This window comes from Homo sapiens, chromosome 5 (assembly GCF_000001405.40).
Source record: "Homo sapiens chromosome 5, GRCh38.p14 Primary Assembly".
Lineage (NCBI taxonomy): Eukaryota > Metazoa > Chordata > Mammalia > Primates > Hominidae > Homo > Homo sapiens.
In genome coordinates, this window is record NC_000005.10 from 83468743 (window position 1) to 83491440 (window position 22698).

The 22698-nt window shown below is 39.3% G+C and overlaps 1 protein-coding gene across 4 annotated transcripts in view, besides 5 other annotated features; it reads left to right on the top strand.

The window, feature by feature from the left end:
* VCAN (versican) overlaps window positions 3002–22698 on the top strand; it is a 110559-nt gene continuing 90862 nt past the window's right edge. For all 4 annotated transcript variants that reach the window (NM_004385.5, NM_001164098.2, NM_001164097.2 and 1 more), the window contains exons 1-3: window positions 3002–3281; window positions 14771–14846; window positions 21356–21730. In NM_004385.5, coding sequence (NP_004376.2) covers window positions 14777–14846; window positions 21356–21730 — 445 coding nt within the window. In that variant the 5' untranslated portion in view covers window positions 3002–3281; window positions 14771–14776. The remainder of the gene's footprint in view (window positions 3282–14770; window positions 14847–21355; window positions 21731–22698) is intronic.
* Window positions 3431–4303: an enhancer, noted in NCBI's record as "H3K27ac hESC enhancer chr5:82767992-82768864 (GRCh37/hg19 assembly coordinates)". NCBI's record gives its function as "activates a minimal SCP1, AML or CMV promoter by ChIP-STARR-seq in naive H9 embryonic stem cells {active_cell/tissue: H9 hESC(naive)}" and the evidence as "EXISTENCE:reporter gene assay evidence [ECO:0000049][PMID:30033119]".
* Window positions 5736–5825: a silencer, noted in NCBI's record as "silent region_16154". NCBI's record gives its function as "represses an Ori minimal core promoter by ATAC-STARR-seq in GM12878 lymphoblastoid cells {active_cell/tissue: GM12878}" and the evidence as "EXISTENCE:reporter gene assay evidence [ECO:0000049][PMID:35858748]".
* Window positions 5856–6075: a silencer, noted in NCBI's record as "silent region_16155". NCBI's record gives its function as "represses an Ori minimal core promoter by ATAC-STARR-seq in GM12878 lymphoblastoid cells {active_cell/tissue: GM12878}" and the evidence as "EXISTENCE:reporter gene assay evidence [ECO:0000049][PMID:35858748]".
* Window positions 6855–7377: an enhancer, noted in NCBI's record as "OCT4-NANOG hESC enhancer chr5:82771416-82771938 (GRCh37/hg19 assembly coordinates)". NCBI's record gives its function as "activates a minimal SCP1, AML or CMV promoter by ChIP-STARR-seq in naive H9 embryonic stem cells {active_cell/tissue: H9 hESC(naive)}" and the evidence as "EXISTENCE:reporter gene assay evidence [ECO:0000049][PMID:30033119]".
* Window positions 7378–7900: an enhancer, noted in NCBI's record as "OCT4-NANOG hESC enhancer chr5:82771939-82772461 (GRCh37/hg19 assembly coordinates)". NCBI's record gives its function as "activates a minimal SCP1, AML or CMV promoter by ChIP-STARR-seq in naive and primed H9 embryonic stem cells {active_cell/tissue: H9 hESC(naive and primed)}" and the evidence as "EXISTENCE:reporter gene assay evidence [ECO:0000049][PMID:30033119]".

A 22698-nucleotide genomic window follows, 5' to 3' on the forward strand; every position in this document is an offset into this window, starting at 1 on the left:
AAGGCACATAGCTTCTGGCTTATGGTTTCTTTTAGACACAAGCATTGTGAATGAAGATCTTGCTTTATTTATACCTGGGATCTTGGAGTTTTCACAAAGAATATCCCCAGTACAAGGATGTGATTTAAAGGGGGACTCACAGAATAATATTTTAATTACTGTTTGATTCATACTTGAGTGTAATGGACAAATAAATACAATTTTAGTTATAAAACCTGAAAAATATATATTTTCCCATTCAAAAACTTCTGATAGTTTTGTCAGGCATTGGAGAATCAGAAATAAATGCTCTCTCATTTTCTTTCTCTTGATGAAGGAAAGTCATTAAAAACAGTTACATAGAAATAATAATACAACTGTAGACTCTATTCTAAATATAGCTGGTATGTTTTCCTTTTTCTTTTTTATCCATTCTCCATTTTAGACAGCTAGAGGGGAAAGTCTGCCCTAGAGATAGAAAGAAGATATCCATGGGGTATAATTTCATTTTAGTTATCTGATAGCCTGAAGAAGTATTTAATTTTCTGAATAATAATGTTACAAGTCAAAGAAGAGAAAAGACAGGCAGTTTAAAGCTTTTCAACATTGTGCATATTCTAATTCCTTAAGTCAGCCCTGAGAAAGTGCCTTTGTCCTGTAGAAGTATTTGGTCAAGTGTTGTGAAGTCTATTGGCATTAAAAGAAACTAAAAATTTTGGAGGATTAGAGAATCAAATTTGGCAACATAAATGAAAACATCTCAGAATGTAAAAAGTATCTAACCCATCACTTTCAATCATGTTCCATTATATACAGATGGCATTATTTATAGTGAATGTTAACTATTAACATTTCCCTAAAAATGGGCATTAATCTGCTATTAGTTGCTTGTTTCTGATCTAGTTCTCCTTTGTTGAAAGGTTTTACTTAACTGTATCATAAAGGGACAAAAGGGTAAAAGATAATAAGCTTTTCAGACTGGCAGATCTGTCACTTACAAAATGGCCTTGGGCAGGTTACTTGAACTCTTTGAAACTCAACTAGATTTACTCAAATTTAAGAATGAGAATACAAATCCACATCTTGAAGTGTTTCACAGAAAGGTCTATCTTAATGTCTGGAGTATATATTTCAATGAACATTCATTTTATTTTATTTCTCTCCATTCCTGAATCAAGCAATCTTGAATCTAAAGTTGCTATGATTAGCACTGAAAAGACCACTGGACTATTAATTGTGTGACTTTGGGACAGTAACTTTCTGCACCTTAGTTTGTTTACATGTTATACATGAAGGTTGAAGTCTGATTCTGCTCTGTGACTATCATTCTAAACATCTGATGAAATCAAATTTCAGTGTTTGGAATGGTAGTACAATAAATTTACTAAGAATAAATAATTCACTGCAAAAACACATTGATTTCCAAATGATGTAACTGACAGTTATATTACTGCAGAGGGCTGATAAATAACAAAAGAAATGAAAGATGCACATGGTGAGAACTGAAATTATCCTGACAAGTCTTCTACCTGTTTATCACTTAAAATCAATGACCATGCTGAATGCCTACAAATTACAAAATATAAAAGAAATCTTATAAATGCGCATGTACAGGAGTCTAAGTTACTAAAAGTTTTAAAGCATAAGTTTAAACCAAACTAATCAAAGAAGTTGAGAGGAAAAATTGGCTTTCATCTTTAATCACTACTGTTTTGAGGTCCTATGTTTAATATAATTTTCTAAGTAGAGGCTTCAGAGAGAAGAGTTGTGAGGATACTTTCATATTTGTGTAGAAGGAAAAGTTTGCCATCCATTCTAGTATCCCTAGTGTTATACTGATGTGCACCTTGGATTTATTTTGTTCCTATTGTATAAACTCATACTTGACTTCAAAGAAAAGGAAAATCCAAAGTCCCTCTTTTCTAAGGGGACAGAAATCCTTTGTGTCAACTGTTTGACCCTTTTCTCTGTAAGGTCCTATTGGAAATCTTTTGTAACACAATGCAGGGGACTCTTCCATGTGTTGATGCTGTTTACACAGTGGGGTGGGCCTGACTGAAGAAAAAAAATCGCATATACGCATGAAAGATTATGGTCTTATTTCCGGAAAGCATGAAAGGTGATTGATACTTCCAAGAAGTCCCTGTTACTCAGGAAAATTATCAAATATTCTACTCAGAGATACTTGGAAAGACTGAAGGAAAGGAAGAACGAAGAAAGCAGAATCTAGACTTATGTGGGGAGAGATTTGTGGCAGAGGAAAAGTATTCTCTTTGAATCCGACAAGGGATTTGCCTGGGGGAATTTCCTGTCCAGCCTTTTATTACCAGGGTCTTTTGAAGCCGGGCTCCCCATTGGGCAGTTCCCTGGGAGTGCAGTGGGGAATTCTTACACTTTCCCTCTAGGTCCCCGAAGGATCTCGTTTTCTCAGTGTCTCTTTCAGGTTGGCAGGAGCCTTGAGCCTGACACTTCCCTTTGATGGGACAGGCAAGCTCTGTGGGCGCGTAAACACGCTGTAACCAAGTTCTTTGCTGATTTTACAGTTTTGTGTGCTCCCGAGAAGAAGTGATCGTACTCAATTGTCTATTGCTGGCCTGCCCCCTAAGAGCCTGGGGGCTCCTTTCCCCTAACCCAGAACTAGCTGCACGGGGGGCGGGGAAATGGGGGTGGGGAAGGAGTGGGAGGGCAGTGGTTTCCGCGAGCAGAGCGATGTTACTGAGTGAGTCCCTGAATGGGGAGCGCTGCTGTCCCCAAGCCGATTGGTACTTCTTGTCAGGAAGAAACGCCAAGAGGTGGGAGTGCCTGGGGAGGGAGGCAGGCGGTCCCTACCGCAGGCGCGGGGAGCTGCCTTTCCGCCCCTCCGCCTGCTTTCCAAGCCTGGACTCTTAGGAGTGGCTGAAGCTGCGGAGCGCTTTTGGAGCCTGTGAATGAACCCTCCTCCTCTCCCTCCTCCTTCTTCTCGCTGAGTCTCCTCCTCGGCTCTGACGGTACAGTGATATAATGATGATGGGTGTCACAACCCGCATTTGAACTTGCAGGCGAGCTGCCCCGAGCCTTTCTGGGGAAGAACTCCAGGCGTGCGGACGCAACAGCCGAGAACATTAGGTGTTGTGGACAGGAGCTGGGACCAAGATCTTCGGCCAGCCCCGCATCCTCCCGCATCTTCCAGCACCGTCCCGCACCCTCCGCATCCTTCCCCGGGCCACCACGCTTCCTATGTGACCCGCCTGGGCAACGCCGAACCCAGTCGCGCAGCGCTGCAGTGAATTTTCCCCCCAAACTGCAATAAGCCGCCTTCCAAGGTAATCACGTTTCTTTTGTTCCCCCCTTAAAAAACAAAAACAAAAAACTTATAGAAAAAAACCCGCGAGCTTAGAAAAAAGAAGCAATTGGTAGAAGGCTTTAATTAAGGCAAAGAGCTGTAAGGCGAAGTTAAGAAAATGTAGGCACTTAAAAAATGCAGGTAACTTTCATAAGGGCTTTTGGGGAGAGGCATACAGAGGGACCTTGGTGTTGAAAAAGATTCAGACAAAAGAAACCCAGGGTGGGGTGGGGGGTAAAATGACTAACGGAATTGGGGGAAGGGAGGGAATAAATTGTAAAGAAATCATAGAAAAGTGGTGGGTTCTTGAGCTGGAGAGAAGAGAGGGACCTTTGGCACTTTGATTTTTTTGTTGTTGTTGTTCTTAACACGCTCGAGGCAAAAGTTTGAATGGGGACTACCAAGACTTGCCACAGACAAGTCCCCGAAGCCGCCTTGGTGCAGGCCACCTGGTTTCCCAGCCCCTGGTGTGTGGTCAGTGCCTGGTGTTCCTGGAAAGCCACTCCCGGGCAGCTCCTGACAGTGCGACCCGGCGCCCAAGCAGCCTGGGACCTTGCGCGGACCTGACCCCTTCAGACCGCAGGCAGTCTGGGAGGAGGTCCGGCCGGGGGAGGTGCAGGATCCCCGCCGTGTCTCTTTGACGACTTGGGGACTGTCACGGTTCTCTCCCGGCGCCCCTGGGTTCTTTTGTCCTGCACGCGGTGCGAAGGGGCCAGCAGGGAAGGAGCAGAGGATGGGGGGTGGGGTTGTTGGAGCCCCGCGGAGGTCTGGGAGGCCCCTGGGCGGGAAAAGCCTGTTCTGAATCGGCAGGGATGTGCAACAATTTTTCTCACCCTGAAGAGTGAAATAGGGTCTGTCGCTCCCATCTCAACAAGCAAACCGGCACCCAGAGCGCACTGCAGACAAAGGTGGCTCGGGGACCCGAATCAGGGGCCTCTGGGTCAGTCCTCTCGCCCAGACTACAGGAGTCCTCCGTTTCCTTACATATTCCCCACCCTCTCCTAGTTCTCCGCTCTAGTTGAGCAACTTTACTGGCAGGTCTAGCGGCAGCGGCGCGCGCGTGTGCCGGGAGCCCCGGGGGACGTCCTCGGCTGGAGCGCCCCACCGTCCTGCAGAGGCGTGGGCGCTGTAGGGCGACATCCCTGGTGCGTGCAGACCTAGGGCATCCGGGTTGTTCTGGCCCGCGGTCTGTGTCACTGGGCGTGGAGCGGTCTGGGTGTTAGGCAGAGGAGAGCGGGGTAGAAAAATAGTGTCATAGCCTAAACTATTTGCTCTCCAATCCAACTGCGTCTCGGCAAGTCCTGCATGTCCCTGGGAGATGCTGCGGGAAGGGGGAGAAATCTACACGGCGCCTGGAGAGTTGTCCTGCCGCGCGCACACCCGCGGCAGAGTCTCTCTGGGTCGCGTTCCTCATCTTTGTGTCTCCCTCTGTCTCCATCTTCTCTGCCTCCCTTCCCCTCTCCCAGCCTCTGTTCTCTCTCTCTAGCTTCTGCGTCCCCTCCCCCACAGCTGACAAATGAATGGCTAGTGTGAAATCCCTGCCTTTCCCGTGCTCCAAGGCAGCAGGGAGGGAGGAGCGAGGGAGGCGGTGCGCTCCTTCGGATCTGCCCCCAGTTCAGCTCACAAGACTTGCAGAACCTAGATGTCTAGGAATTGGGAGTTTTGCGGCGGGTGTGGGCGCCCCCTGATGGAGAAGTCCCGCACAGGCGGAGAAAAACAAGCCCCCCAGACCAAGCGAGCATCTTTCACAACCTTGTGTTCAAGGATGGAAGGCCCTAGTTTTCCCTTAAGTCATTCATTTTGCACTCCACAATCTGCGGCGTACATCTAGGAGTTTGGAGGACCCTGAAAAAAGGTCTTGGTCTGTGCAAAGTGCAGAGATGCCTTCTCGCGAGTCGGCTGGAACGCACGCGGCGCCCTGGGTCCAGTTCGCCGCTTAGTGGACGAACGCACATGGCCAGGGTGGAGCCAGGTTTCGGAGGTCTAGACGCGCCACCCTGGGCGTCTTTAAGAAAGATAATACACATACCGTGCTCTCAAAACCCATGACCACTTGAACCCAACGCTAGGGCCCCGCCCCAGGATATTGCAAAAGAAGGGCTCCTAATCCAAAACTTAAACTTCCTCAACTTCAGGGCGGGCGTCGGACGGGAAAGTGGAGAGAAGGCGGGCAGTGGGAGGAAAAAAGAAAGGGAAGGAAGGGAAGTGGAAGGAAAGAGGACCGTGGAGGGGAGGAAAAGGAGAAAGGAACGGAGATGGGGCAGATGGCATTCAAACAGCCAGGAACGGACCGGAAGGGTTCGTTTCGGGGTTTGGGTCTGAATTTCGAGACTCGTTTTAGGATACTCTTTTCCCTTTCCCAGCGGCAACAAATGTGACTGCAGAGGCGTGCCGGGATGGAAGGGTGGGAAAGAACTAGACAAGCGGAGGTGGTCCAGCCCCGCCCAAAGGGGCTGGGTCTGGGGCCCGCCCCCACTCGCTCACCTCGCGCCAAGGGAGGACCCGCAACGGGCGCTCCCCGCAGCGGCTGGGTTAGCCAGCCGCCACGTGGGTTGGCGCTTCGGCTCCCAGCCGAGACGGGTGTGACTTCCTGGGCTCAGAGACTGCAGTACAGCCGCACAGGCGGCCGGCGCAGCCGAGGCCCCCACCCACCGAGGCCAATGGGGGCGGGGCGGGGAAGGCAGGGCCCAGCTTAACCGAGAGAGCCGAGTGGCCTCGCCCCCAGGATTCGGGGCCGGCTGCTTCTGGAGCTGACCCGAGTTCCATCCAGACAGCGCTGAACACTCTTATTAAAAGGCTATTTAAGTTTTATTTTATTTTATTTTATTTTTGCTTGCTTCTTGGGAGTGGTAGGAGGGGCATCGTGCTTTTGTTTTGAGGCAGGGGAGAGGTTAAAATTTACTCCAAGCAAACTTTTTGTCAGAAAAATGAGACTTTATACCGTATTCCATTTGTTGACTTTTTAAATACATTCAGGTCACTCTAAAGCCCATTCTTAGTCAATTAACAGATTAATTTCGTTCCAGACTGTCATAAAGAGTTCGCCTGGAATGGCAAATACTGCCATTCGACAAGACTAATAGAATTTCATGGGGGCAAACATGGAAGGGCTGCGAGTGTAACTGAGGTTCCTGTGCCTCAATGAGGAACCTTAGCGGGGACCTGGCGGGGACTGGAAGCTCAGCACCTATTTAGGGAGTGACTGAGCTGGAAACCTGGAGAAGCTTGGTGCAGACGAGACGGTGCTTCTTAGAGCTGCATTTTAAGTCCTCCCATTTTGCTGCATATTGGAAGAACTGGATTTTAAAGATCTTTTCCATCACCTCAGATTCTGTAGCTAACAGCCACGTCTTTTTCTTTTTGTCTGCTGAAAGCTGTGACCTAATTGTTTTAAGCACTTCTTGACAATTTCGCCAAACCCATCCTGAAAATATTCACATAAAGTCCTAAAATAGGATGTTGTGAGTGTAATATAAAAATAGGAAGGTACCAATGGAAGCAACAATTAGTGTTCTGAGATAGAAGCGGTTCCCAGTTTGTAACTTGGAAATGTTAAGAGCAGTACATCAGGGAGAAGGTCTCCAAGAGTCTGACTTCTTGTTCTGAGCTCTGAGTAAAGAAAGAAATATGTTAGAATTGTATTGTCTGCCCGCAGTAATATTGTAAAGGGTTCCAATGGATTCCAATGTGATTGAGCAATTACTTCCTCCAGCACCAAGTCCACAGTCCTTAATCTTCTTGTGAGAAGATTAGGTAGGAAGCGGGATGAGATTCAAGACAATCATTTAGGATTTATGTCAGAATTCAAAGTTTTGATTCTTTTGGTAGATAAAAACAGAGTTGGTTTTAAATTGTATTTCCTGCTTTCAAAAAAACGAGGTTTGAAAGGAATCCCCCTAGATTTACATAGGTTTACAGATGTAAGTTTCTTCTTTTTCCCTGTGTTTGCAAACTGGAGGGAGATGCCTTTGATATTCCAGAATACCTGTATCTATACACTTGTAAATTCTGCTAGGAAAGGACCTAAACAGCTAAACCAAAGGTGACCATGATTAATGTTAAAGATACTACCCATTGTTCTCTCTTTTGTTGTATTATTAGGCTTAAATACTTTGGAGTTAATGATTGGTCACTTAATTGAGTAACAGAGCCTTTGAGAGCGCAAAGATCAACTAACTCTGTCTCCCAAAGTCTGGCAACTAAGCCCTCCTTTCCTGGTGAGATTTAAACATTTTTGTTGACGTCATTCATGGACAAACATCGGTAAACACTGTATTTAAAATGGGATATTGCCCTGTGATGGAGCAGAACTTCTCAAGACACATGGTTCTTTTGAAAGAAAGAATTAATGACTGTAGTAAGGTATTTTTTCACCACCCACGTAGAGAAACCAGTTAGGACTGACAAACACTCATTGTTGGGAGTTACTTGCTCTGGTCTGAGAAAATATGCTGATTGTTACATAGGTCTGTATTTTACCAGAAAACACAAAGCATGTACTCTCCCTGATTTGGAATCAGAAAAGGGGGATTAGATATGGATGTCTTGGCCAAGCTCCATTTCAATTAGTGAATTTTTGCCAGTTTCCTCTTGTAGCCTAGACTTGGTAAATTACATATATATAAAGTCTGTGTGTGTGTGGGGGGTGCGTGTGTGTGTGTATGTATACAGGGTTTTTAAACACTGCTAAGTTCTTACCATTGAATGTGTTAGAGGTGGTTGTATTTCAGAGGTCAGTACAGAGAATCTTTGTTTAATGTGTCAGTTCTGTTTCCTGAAACACACCTCTGGGTAGATTTACCAACTATAAAAGGATACAAATGTATATACTTTCCACATCTGTATACATCCTACCTCATTCTTCTAAGGATTTTAAGAGGTGTTTATGTCTATAAAATGAGATTACATATTTTACAATAAACATATTTGATAAATTATAATCTTTTTATTATTAAATTATTGATTTGATATTACTTGAGGTATAGTGGAATGAGCACTAGACTTGGAATCAGAAAGTTTGAGTTGGACTCACTAGCTGAGAAAACCAAGCAAAGATATTACTTTTGGACCTTTAGTGTCATAATCTATTAAATGAATATGCAGTTATAAAGATCAAAAGAGTAAGTACTTTGAAAAACTATACAAAAAAGGGATGATAATATATTATGTCTTGGGATTCATATTGATCTAATTCTATAATTTTAATAATAACTGCATTACCCAAGCCATGTAGTTTCTACTGAATCTATAAAATAAATCAGAGAGGGGCATATTGTTTTAAAAATTGTTTAGTTTCATTAATCAGAAGACAGGTTACAGAAATTGACTCCAATGAAGTTGGACATTCAGTGGAAAGGAAGAATTATTCAATAAATGGTTTCAGGACAATTGATGGGTCCATGCAAAATAAGAATCAGTCTCTACCTGATTTCTCATCCTAAAAGAAATATAAGATGAATCAAATATGAAATGTAGGGAATAACTTTTTACAAAATGATAAAAGAAAATCATGGGATTAAAAAAAATAAGTTAGGAATAGAGAAACCTGTTCTAAGCAAAACATAAAACCCAGTGCCATTCTAGGAAATACTGATAGGTCTGACTAAGTAAAAATTACACAAAAGCAAATAATATATTTGGAAAACATCTACGACATTTGAGAGACAAAAAGCTAATAACTCTTGATATTCCATGGACTTTTATGAATAACTTTGAAAAGTCCACATCTATCAAAATATGAGCAAAAATTATGTACAGGTAGTGGCAGAAAGAGACATAGAGTTTTAAAATTATAGAAAAAATCGCTCAGCCTCATCTGTAATTAAATAAATAGTAATTAAAACACCAATGATATGCTACACCATTTTTTCACCAATCAGAGGAGTAACAAAAAAAAATAATTTTTTTCTTTTTTTTTTTTTTTGAGATGGAGTCTGTTACTCAGGTTGGAGTGCAGTGGCACGATCTCAGCTCACTGCAACCTCCGCCTTCCAGGTTCAAGCAATTCTCCTGTGTCAGCCTCCCTAGTAGCTGGGATTATGGGCACCCACCACCATGCTTGGCTAATTTTCGTGTTTTTAGTAGAGTGGGGTTTCACCATGTTGGCCATGGCAGTTGATCTTGAACTCCTGACCTCAAGTGATTCACCCACCTCAGCCTCCCAAAGTGCTGGGATTACAGGCATGAGCCACTGTGCCTGGCAAAAATAAAATTAAAAAGTTTGATGCAAGTTTGTGTTGGCCAGGTTGTGGAGAAACTGGGTCTCTCATATACTGTTGTATGAAAGTAAATAGGTTCCTCTACTTCAAAAAATAATTTGGCAATCACTTTTTTTTGATTCTTTATCAAAAGTTTTTAAAAGATGTATATACTCTTTGATTCAGCAATTCCACTTCTCGACATTATTATATGGATGGATATTGGTACCAATATCACCCAAGACAAATGGACAAGGATGTTCTTTGCAGCATTGCTTCTAAGAGCAAATATCTGGAAACAGTGTAAAGGCTCATCATAGGGAACCATTTAAATAAAAGTTGCTGTATCCACCTAATGGAAAACTATGCAGCTGTCAAAAATAACATGGAAAAATTGTATTTGCTGATTTGGAACATTCTCCAAAATATATTGTATTCTAAGTGAAAAAATTGATAGATAAAACTGAGTATATATTATACATCTAATTATGTAAAATGGGTGTATATTCATTCTTTTAACAAATATTTACTGAGTGTTCTAGGCATTGTGGATACAGGAGTGAACAAAACATCAAAGACTGCTCTGTTGGAACTTTTACTATGGTAGGTAGAGAAAGGCAATTCCCAATCACATATGCAAAATGGTGATATGTGCTAGGATGAAAATAGAGCATGGGAAAGGGAATAGAGTACAGTATGTCTTAGGTAGAGTAATGAGAAAGGAGTTCACCAGGCAGAGAACAGAGGAGTGCTAAGGGGCGACAATGTGAAAAAGCTTAGCCAAGTCCAGGTTCAGGAATTCACATGATGCTATTACTTGTATGAAGTAAATTCATGAAATTTCACACCTAAATCACGTGATTTCTCTCTGCTGTACAATGATTCTTTCTGTGAGAAAGAACCAGTGAGCAATATGATATGTGATGCTCATTACATCCACTTTGTAGCTGAAGTATCCTAGAAAGTTGGTTGTCTAGGGTACCTAATTAGCAGAATGGTGGACAAAACCACCGTGTCTCTGTCCTTAAGTCACCCCTTGTCAGCTGAGCTTCCCCAAAATCAAGGGAGAATACTAAATATCTATTTAATAGAATCTTGGCTTTCTCTCGGAGGCTGCCCATCCCTGGTGTGTCCCTTATCCTCCCTGCAGACATTTCTCATGGATAGGAGTTCCATTGACCTTGTCTTTTATGTCTCCCAGGCAATTAAACAGTCTCAGTACCCTGTACCTGGATTGTTCAATGACTTTCTTCCCTTCTCATTGACTTCACTGGAGTAGAAGGCTAAATATAGGCATTCACTCTCATATCTCTCAGGTCTTTCCATGCAGACAGAGTTGTTATCACTAGTAGACGGTGCTTATAAGAGAGACATGGAAAAGTGGAAGAATGGAAATAGGGATTTGGAGTGGTGCTAAAAACAAAGAAAGAGGCTTCTGAAAGCTTTCCATTTAATATGATCAAACATAGAAGACAAAAGATGTAACTTAATGACCAAGGATAGGGACATAGCCTTGAGAAAATTACAGAAGTGGAATGAACGTCTTGGACTCCAAAGAAGAGGGAATGGAAATGTAGTTCTGAGGCAGCTAAAGTCAATAAAGCCCTCTGATATATTTACTGTAGAAATAAATGATCATCTTTTAATTCAAGGTTTGCAAACTTAGGTGACTACAGGGGCGAGGCATGGAGTGGAAATGGGTAAGAGACTAAGTGGGGGCAGTAATGGCCTTGAGCACACAGACTTAAGGGGAGAGACTGCTGCTTGGTTAATGCTCATGATCAGCCAGCTGAAATATAGACTTAGTGTTGCTAGACCTTCTGATTTTTTGAAAGAAGTTAGAGATCTTATATTTAGTGTAAACAGTCTAATTTTTAAATTGAGTAACTTATTCAAACATATTTATGCAACTTATTCAAATGTATTTAGAGCATGTCTGATCTCCTCCTTGTATTCTTACCTAGTCTTAGGGGTAATCTTAAGGAAAGTGATGCGTATACTTGTTGTACCTATGTAGATGGAGGACCATTCTCCTCTCCCCAACAAAAGACACTTTTATAAGGATTGAGTGTGGCACAAAGAGTTCGATTTTTAGTATTTAAATTGAGTAGGAAACTCAAATACAGAAGATCCTTTCCTGGGTCACACCTTTGGTTTTTTTAAATGAGATTTGACTCTCTAGATATTGACAAACATCATATTATTGGGTCATGGTAAATCTTCAAGTGGACTGATTCAAAAGTGTTCAAAAGTATTTCAGGTGTTAAGGAATTGTTGGCACGGAGTTTCAAAGGTGTTTCTGCATAAGAAATAGAGGCGTTGATCATGTATTTGATCTACAAACATTCCTCAAGGATATACCCTGAACCTGGCAATGAAGAAATATTGTGGGAATTATTAAGTTGAATAAAGTACTAGCTCTGCCTTCCAGAAGCCTACTGTTCTACAGAGGAGATTAGACATGTTTACAGATAATTTGAAGTACATAGCAATAAATTATAGGATGATTTATTCCAAGCATAAAGTGTATATTGCTACTATAGTGGTAACCTAGGTTATAATTTTCAAATGTAAGAGCCCCAAATACTATTCTTTTTACTCTTAGTGATATGAAACTATGTTAGAACATCTGCAGAAAGTCTGAATTAGTAATTTTAATAATAAATATTGAGTACTGATATATTGTATATCACTGAGATTTATTTTATATACATTATTTTATCAATTCCTATGATCACTTCGGTAAGTACTAATTTTCACAACTAAGTAGTGACAGAAAATGAGGTTTAGAGAGATATAGTATTTTACCCAAAGTCACAGAATATAAGTAGAGAATGCAGAACTTGCATTCTGGGCTATTTGACAGTGGAGCCCAGACTTTTAAAATTAGGCTTATAAAGATTTCCTGGAAAAAAAGAAAAATAAAAAATAGAGAACAAATTTTCCTGAAGAAAAGTAGGAAATTATTATTTATAAGTATAATTAAAGAGAGATCTTTAATTTCTTTTTTTTTTTTTTTTTTGAGACGGAGTCTCGCTCTGTCGCCCAGGCGCAATCTCAGCTCACTGCAACCTCCACCTCCCGGGTTCATGCCATAAAGAAAGGTTTCTTATTTGGATTCAGCTAATACTCATGGAATGCATTTTCTTTAACACCTTTTTATCATAAAATACAATCTTTTACTTTGGCTGTGCAATTGATACCTTTATTTTTCCTTAAAATATTGTAATAGCATAGATATATGGTATATACTTCCTGCTTGCTGTGCTGTCTTATAAGAAATCCAGAAACATAGAAACATTATGGCATTTCCCAGTTAGTGTTTAACAAAGTCTATTAGCAGATCCTAGTGATTATAGGATAAATAACAAACTTAATTATCAGGGTTAATTTAGGATTATCAACCATATGTTTTTCATTGTGAATTATCAGTTGGTCTATAGATGGAAAATATAAGATGTATAATGTATTAGCTTAAAAAATGCTCTTCAGAGAGTGTCTAGAATTATAGAATTTAAAAATTTTGTTTTGAAAAGGTCTAATTCTTATTTCAAAATATATAAAGAAATCAAATGCAAAAAAATTAAGAGAAAAGGTCTTAATTAATTAAATGCTGTACAACTCCAAGCCCTATTTATGTTCAAGATCAGTTTTGTAATTTATGACTAATTTCAGCATTAGCTTGTTTTCAATCTAGGTTTGCTAAATAATATAGAATTTCTTTTCCAATGAAGTTTTTCAGGGTCCCAGCTGAAAAATATATACCAGTTAGGATGCTTTCAACTGTAAGGAACAAAAAGTCACGATTTTATTGGGTTTAAACAATAATGACATTTATAATCTCATATAAAATGAAGTTCAAAGGCATGGTCCACTCTAGGTCTAATCCTTAAGGACTTACGCCTTGCCTTTGCTGATTCTTTCTCAGCTTCATTTCCAGAGGTATCTCACTTACTCATGGATGCAAAATCCCTACAACAGTTCCAGCAGAAAGATTCCAGCATGATAATGTCCAGGGAAGAAAACTGACCACCTCTTCCTTTGTTCTCTTCTCAGGATGAATCTATCTTTCCCAGGGACCCTTCACTGGAGGAAGAGATCCCCTCACATCTCACTGGCCAAAACTATATTATATACTGTTCCAAATCCAATCATTGGAAAAGGGAATGGTACCTCTATAATTGACTTAGGATATCAAGATCATCCCTTGGGCTGGGGTTTGACCCAGGATTCTCCAAAGTATGTGACTGAGGGTAGGCACTAGAATGGAACCAGAGTTGTGTTAGAAAGGAGAAACGCATGGCTATTATAGAATAGTTCTAAATGCTACCGAGGAGGGCACAACTGTAAAAACCAAATAATCTTTTGCCATTCTTTTGAAGTTGGCACTTTGATTTCTAGATGGTTCCCCAACACAGGTTCTTCTCCTCCTCATCATTATAGCTGCCTTGAAATTTGAGCTGGAAGGGAACATTCTGAGACCCAGATTGTTAAATGTCTTTTCCAAAGTCATGCAATAAATTAAATGGCAAAGCCAGGGCAGTTTCTTGACTCAGTACAGGGTATTTTCTTTCATTCTTTACTCTTGAGACGTTAGAACTGTTGGTACTGCTTTAAAATTCATGGCAAGAACTGGTCACTTTTGTAATTAACACCTCCTTATAATACATTTGTTTTGTTTGCTTAGCCAGCTAGAAACTACATGGAGTCTGTGCTTTAAAAAGCCTGCCGAAGTCCTTATTCTCTGTTTTGGTATTATGTGCATGAACCACCAATTGGTTCCTTCTCACCTTACACTTGATGAAGATGTCTTTCTTTCAACATCTTTCTCTATTGCTCCCCATCTTCTCTTGCTCTATTTATGATCAGCTGTCTGTTTCTAAATAGACTTTGTGGTCACCCATTTCTTTTTGTGCCAGCTCCTATCCACTAGTTACTTGAACTGTGGTCTCTGTTGTTCTTCATACAGCCTACTCACTTGTGGTTGTCACACACATCCACATTGTTATATGTTCCCAAACTGTATTCTGGAATGATTTTGGTAATGGCTGCATTGGATGAGATTCAAACTAATAATTAAAGCATTGAGATAGCTTCTGCTATTACAAGTTTACTCCTGTTTTTATAGTCCAAGAGGAGCTACTTCTTCTACTCTTATTACTTAATGCTTAATACTACCCTTATTACATACAATGCACAAAAAGCATGTGATTTATGACCCACTTTAAACCTGAATGCTTGTGATTTACTTTGTGTTTTTCTTCATTTCTAGGCCAAGATGTTCATAAATATAAAGAGCATCTTATGGATGTGTTCAACCTTAATAGTAACCCATGCGCTACATAAAGGTGAGTGTGCTAACAATTTCTTTGGTGTTAATTGAAATAAAAATGTAAGTGCTGGAGGATGAAATGGCAATGTGGAATCACTGGAATAAAAGATTGATTTTTAAAATCTATTAAGTGCTGAAAACTATCAGTTAAAATATTATTGGACCAAAAACATTAGTTTTAAATAAATAAGTCAAAACAAAATAATAAGTAGGATGCTAAAGATGCAAGTGAGCTTTTAGTAACTTCCCTGATTACTTTCAGGCTTTGCAAAAAAGCTCATATATGGTATTGGGCATATTTTAAAATTCTAACACTATTTCTCAAAAACTTTCCTATGCAAAAAAAGAAACACTATTAAACACCCAGTGGGCTAGAATTTGAAAAGAATTGAGAAGATAAAGAGAAAGCTGACAGCCATGTTTTTGCCCTTAGTTCCTTTTCTTTTCTTTTTTAAAAAAGCAGTTGGATATGCATATGCCCTAGTTTTTTAATTTGAAATTTTATATTCTTCCAATGAGGGCTCTATAATTCCAAATTTATTATTTAATATATTCAAGGAATTTGAAGAAAGATGCTATCCAAGAGTTTCACTCATCTGCTTCTGTCTGTCTAGTGTACCTCTCCAGACTCAGATTCCATTTCTTCCTCACACTTATATTATGCATCAGACTCACCTTTTATGATTTTCCAGATGAATTCCTTTTGCTAAAGTTTAAGTCATCCATCTATTCATTACCCCTCCATCCATCCATCATCTATCTATTCATCCATCCATACCTCCAGCCATCCATTCATCTGTCCAAAATCTTTCCATCTGTTTGCTTATCAACATCTATCCGTGTATTCATCCATCCATCCATCCTTCCATCTGTCCAAAATCTTTCCATCTGTTTGCTTATCAACATCTATCCATGTATTCATCCATCCATCCATCCTTCCATCCATCCATCCATCCATCCATCCATCCATCCATCCATCCATTCATCCATCCATTTTTCCCACTCACCCATTCATCTGTTCACCCATTGATGATATTTTTTGAATACCTTCTTTGTGCCAGATATTATTCTGGGTGTCTGGGAATATACCCATGGATGACTCATAACTGGCCTATCGTTCTTTAAACTTACTTCTCTAGTTATGGGAGACCAGCAATAAACAAGTAAACAAACAATCCAGGTACTTTCAAATTGATGAACATAAAACAGAGTGACATCATAGAGAGTGGCTTGAGTTGGGGGAAGTTGATAAGACCTCCTTGAGAAAGTGAAATTTAAAGTGAGATGAGAATGATAATGAGGAACCAGCCAGCCAAGACCTGTCTGTAAGTTAGGAAGAAACATCGTGTGTTTGAATAGCAGAAAGGTCACTATAGTTGGAGAGCAGTGATCAAGGGGAAAGTAGGAGACATGAACAGAGAGATTAGCAGAAACCAGCTCATCTAAATAATAATAACACCCAAAACTTGAATAGAACTCCCTATGATCCAGGAACTGTTTTAAGTGCTTAACACTAACTCACTGAAACATCCATTACCCCTGTATTCTATTGAGGAAACTGTGGTACCAAGAGAGGCTAAGCAGCTTGCTCGAACGCCCATACCCAGTAAGAAGCAAAGCTTGGAGATGAACCAATTCATAGGAGTGTGTGCTCTTTACCACCATGTTATACTTCTTATCTACATGGAACACTGTAGGCTTTAAAAAGTCTAGAATTTTTACTCAGGAGGCTGAGACAGGAGAATTGTTTGAACCCGGGAGGTGGAGGTTGTGGTGAGCCGGGATTGCATCATTGCACTCTAGCCTGGGCAACAAGAGCTAAACTCCATGTCAAAAAAAAAAAAAAAAAGTCTAGATTTTATTCCAAGTGCAGTAGGAAGTATTGAAGGGTTTCAGCAAAGAAAGATATGAGTTGATGAATGTTTTGAAAATTCAGTTTTTGATAATCTATGCAGATTTGATTGTAGGAAAGCAAGGGTAGCAGCAGAGATATCATTTAGGAGGTTATTGTAGTAGCCTGTGCATGAAATGGGGTGGGGAGTAGTTTAGATCAGGTAGCAGTGGAGATGAAGAGAAGTGAATTGGATATGTGGAGATGGAGGAGTCAGTCCATCCACTGATGGATTGGATGGGGTGTGTAGTGAGGACATGAGAGGAGTCAAGAATAAATTGACTCCTGGGATGGCTCTCTTTCCCCTTTTCACCTCCAGATTCCCCTTTCTAACCAATTTAAAAGCTCCTCCTTGGGTGGGTGCAGTGGATCATGCCTGTAATCCCAGGACTTTGGGAGGCCAAGGTCGGAGGAGTGATTGAGCCCAGTAGTTCAAGACCAGTCTGGGCAACACAGTGAGACCCTATCTCTACAAACATTTTAAAAAATTAGCCGGGGGTGGTGGCTTGGGCCTGTAGTAGCTTGGGCCTGTAGTAGCCCAGTAGCTGGAACTCCACCTACTGGGAGGGCTGAGGCAGGAGAATTGTTGATCACAGGGGGTCGAGGCTGCAGTGAGTCATGATCGCACCACTGCACTCCAGCCTGGATGTCAAAGTGAGATCCTATCTCAATAACTGGTAAATAAATAAATAAATAAATTCCTCCTCCATGTTCCCCTTGTCCCCTGTGCTGTTGCAGATATAATAACATCTTCCATGCTCTTGGGATAAGTTATTGTTTTTCTTCCCAAGTAGGCTACTATAAGCTGCAAAAAGGCCTTTCATCTTCTAGCAAAGTGCCTGACACACTGACAGCACTTAGTCATTTTGTGTGTTGACTAAATGAGTGAATAAATAAATAAATGCCACAGTGGACCACCTGGATAGTTTTTAGAGTCTAGGTTCCACCAATTGGATCATGAAGACATGCTAATCAGATGGTGAAGCCTAGGAGCTGTCTTCCTCAAAGTTTTTGGGAGGTGAAGGTGAAGGTCACAGAGAGGAAAGGACAACAGCAACCAGTGAAGATGGAGAAAGGGATATGAAAAGGGGAGTGGTATTTGGATGGGCTGTATTGGAAGGGAATTTACAGGGAAAGTAGTAGGCGACCATCCTTCAGCTGAAATTTAGACTTTCCACTTAAAGAAAGAACTCATGCAATGAAAAACAACTTGTGTTGTACCTCCTTTACAGTATTTACAACAATAATTTTGATAGCCAACAACATTGAGTAATTTCTGCATGTCTTTACCTATTCTTTGTAAATCCATGATCACTATTATTAGATGTAATTAGTTTGGGGCTAATTTCAGGAGAATTTTTTTATATCAGAGGTGAAAGTTACAAATATACGATCCACATAAAACAGATTTTCTGGATTTATAGTGGAAAACACAGTAGTAACTTGTTGAGTCAAGACAAGTACTTTCATCTTAAGGTTTTTTTCTGTTTATTCCCAGTCACTGATGAGGTCAACGACTAACATAAATGAACACCTTGTCTATTGTTATGGGCTTTATTTTAACCCAAGAAGAACTATTTCCTTTAACAATACACATTATATTATCTTACAAACTGTCCTAATCGTTGATTATCTACCATTGGCCTAGTTATTTTGATGTTCCCCTTATAGTAGGAAAAGGAGTCATGCACAGTCGTGAATAAGTGAATGAACTAGATAGTGATATTTGTCACTTGAAAGAGTGATAAATTCCCATATTCTCAATTTGACATTTATTTGGCCAAGGTCTGTGTGTGTGTGTTTGCTCAAATTGTGCAGATGGAATTTACATCATCTTTACTCTAAGGAATCTGCTGACAGAGAATGAGGGGTAATTGGTTATTCATTATTTAGTGATTTCTCCCTCACTGTACTCATTTGGACCACAAACCATCTGGTAACAGCCAATGTTTTGTTAGGATTCATTTTTATTACTTGAATTGTCAGCATTTCAGACAAATTCCTGTAGGTAGCAGATTTCTTTTAAACATGCATACTCTGTAAACATTATACTCTGAACTACTGAATTTCTTTCTTAAAATATTTAGATTTAGTGAATTTCGTTTTTGTGACCCAGTGCATTAAGACCGAAGATTTAATACACAAAAGATTTGACCACACAGCTTTTTGTTAATCTTGTTAAGTTTGTATTCACATCAATATATTATTTATATCCAACCAAAGCTTTTAATTTTCTTATATATATAAACATCTAGAACAGTAAACAACCCTTGGGAAATTGCTTTTTAAAGTTATTTTTTTCCAACATACCTTTTCTTTACAGCACAGCTGTTTAGCAATGCTCTATGTTTCAGAAACCTCCCTATTGGATAGATTGGGTTGAATCTCATGTCTGTCCCTATATACTTCAAATTGTGAAGAGAAATATAATTTGTAAGAAATATTGAAGAATTGGAAGACATATATTTTAAACTAATTTTAAAAGACATGATAAAGAGTTTCAAAATTCATACCAGAATTAAAGTTGATGATAAAGCTGTTTATTTTTGCATTTGAAAATAGTACTTTATTTGTGGCAAAGTTAGTCATCTAAATAATTCTTCAGGAAGGAAGATGAGATTTTCTGGAACATATGATGAATATAAATTTGGAGATTTTTAGAGCACAAAATTCTCACCCTTTCTCTTCTCAGAACAATATCTTTGTGTTATCATCATCTCCCTAATTAGGTCCAAATTAAAGGAATGTGAAATAGGTAGAAGGTACTTTCAGAGAGTCCTCTGTGAACCTTACGGATTTATTAAAAAGATCATGAAATTACTAAAATATTTCAGTTCAGATAGTAATTAAATACTTATAGAAATAGGATGCATCTAGACTTTGAAAAGGAACTGAAAAGAACACTTCTTTTACTTCATTTAGGGGCAGAGGAAGCACACCAGAGCTAAAAGATTCCTTGATTAGGTGTCAGGAGACATGTGTTCTGACTCAGGTCTCTCACCAGCCATCTGGGAGCTTATCCTTCCTCTCAGTGGAGGATCCTTTGTAAGGAATTCGACCAGTTTTACTTTAAGGTTGAGCTAAGTTAGAGAATTTACTTTGTAAGCCAAGGAGGCCATTAAAAGTGGAATTATTCCCTTGCAATTTTATTCCAAAATGATAATAGTCTTAGCAATATTTCAAAGGATAATTTAGTATAGCTAATAGCACACTTCACTTTGTTTTTATTTAATTTCATTAAGTGCCTTAAGTCTGCTTTGGATAAGCTACATGTAGATTAATAAAATAATAAACAAATGCATAACAGCAATGGTTATTATACATTTGAAATAAATTAGTGATTTATATTGTAAGTACATTAAATATGATACTATATTAATTATTTTGGATTTATTTGCATCACATGAAATGTTTTATAGGCCAATCTCTTTTTAGGTTAAAATTTTAATCTTTAGCAAGACAGTATTTTTTTCTTAAAGGATATATCTCCATAGTATCTTCTTGCAATTTTCAAAATGCTTTTCTCCAACTGTGTTTACATTGAGAATCCACAGTGTTTACATTGAGAGTGATATCATTTCCAATGCATGCCCATGTTGAGATGTGTGTTTCCAATATGTTTGACCACTAGCAGAGTGTTAGATATACATCATTTTGTTGGTTAAAAAATCATTATTTCATTTCACCTAGAGGCTACTATTAACTTGTTGACCATATTTTCATGAAGTAAGCATTGTTTGTGCATTATCAACAACTTCCATTATTACTAACATATTGTCTAGCCTAATTAATAGAGGCTGGAAGATAGAGAGGAGAGTGGGAGAGAAAGGGATGGATTCCTCTAAGAGTGAAAAAACATTTATTTTGCAGGTAATGGTGTTAAACTGTAGTCAATATATTCTTTATCATTAAAAGTTTAAAAGTTTAAACAGAAGGACATTCTGCAGATAAATATTTTAGGACGGTTAGGTGAACAGAAACCAACCTTTCCCCATTATATAATTGAAGGTAATGTCTCACTGCAAAGTGATGGTAGCTGGATTTGTTATAATTATGAAAGCCTTTGGTTCCAACACAGGACCAAAGTGCATCCTTCAAATGTTAGGCTTTCCCTGGTTCCAGTCCTATGAAGCACTTTTTTATTTTCACTTCATCTTTGAATTTTGTTTTCATTTCCTCTAAGGTAATGTGGCAGTTATTGTAACAAACATTTTTTGTCTTTCGACCTGTAGACATAATTTTCATCTTTCAGCTGCTCTTCCTAATGTTGGTCCAGTCCTTTAAACCTGCCCTACGGATTCTAGTCTGCCCTTCTTTGCCCTTAATTGCTTGACCTCTTATGCTTGCCTTTTTTTTTTTTATCACTTATTTTGTTCATGTTAAACACTAAGTTAAAAAATTTTAAAATGAATGATGCCACATTTCTATATAAAGAAATGAGCATTATTAATCCCTGTTGTTGTAAAACATCATTGAAATTGTATGCTATTCTCTTTATATAAAGTCATTCTAATTATGTCACATGTTGAAGATGTAACCAAACTATTATAAAGGCTGCTTATCCATTCACATATTGAATAGATTAAGTTTGGGTTTTTTAAGATTGTTAATTTGTTATTTTCTCTTTCCTCTAGTCAAAGTGGGAAAAAGCCCACCGGTGAGGGGCTCCCTCTCTGGAAAAGTCAGCCTACCTTGTCATTTTTCAACGATGCCTACTTTGCCACCCAGTTACAACACCAGTGAATTTCTCCGCATCAAATGGTCTAAGATTGAAGTGGACAAAAATGGAAAAGATTTGAAAGAGACTACTGTCCTTGTGGCCCAAAATGGAAATATCAAGATTGGTCAGGACTACAAAGGGAGAGTGTCTGTGCCCACACATCCCGAGGCTGTGGGCGATGCCTCCCTCACTGTGGTCAAGCTGCTGGCAAGTGATGCGGGTCTTTACCGCTGTGACGTCATGTACGGGATTGAAGACACACAAGACACGGTGTCACTGACTGTGGATGGTAAGGCTTTTATTATCTGCAAGAAGGTAGTATAACATGACACCTGGTTCAGAAGCATTGAGAAATAGCACTCAGAAGTAACTGTTGTTTGGGGTTTGGATGAGCGGAAAAACACCTGTCAATCCAGTAGTCCACGTCTTTCACCAAAAATGAACTGGTACTCATTCAAAAGTCAAGGCAGGTGCATTTTTGGCAGCCACTTCATTGATTCCATGAAGGAAAGTATTGTATACTGAAAATAACGAATACCTCAAGGCATGACACATAATTTAATAATCATTACTTCAGTGTTGAGTCTTATCAGTGATTCTTTTTCAAGACTCTGAAGGCGAATCTACATTTTAAAAATTATTACATATGTGTGTATGCACATGTACATACATATACACACATATATACACATATACACATGAAAAACCTTTCCCCCTTTTTTCTCTCTTAATATGATTATTAAAATATTTGAGTTTGCTTTTAGGAAATTCTATCTTAACTTATACCGAAGAAATAAGGTATTTAATAAAAACCATGGTACATATCAGAGTCTTAAAAAGGCCAAGACTTAATAAATATTTGAATTCGATCAAACAGAAATTTAGTATATTTTTTAAGATTAATATCCTAGTTGTTATCCGTTAAGTATTGCAGTGAGACATTTTAGTTTCACCCTCTTTTCAGGGGTGGTTTATATGTCATTTGAATTTAAGTTAGGAGACAAAGCAAAGAAAAATTGCTTTAATTGGGTACACACATAATGCCATAGCCCTTGGAAGCGTAATATTTTGGCAAGTTATTAAGCAAAATTCTAATACCCAGACATGATGGAACAGATTTTCTTCCAATCCTCCATTTCCCTATAAAATATTTACCTTTCAGAAATATATACAAAGGGTTTTATTAAAAGTCTTTCTTGTGTAGCCAAAAGGAAATACTTTGAATTTCAGATGCAACACATTAACTTTCTGATACCC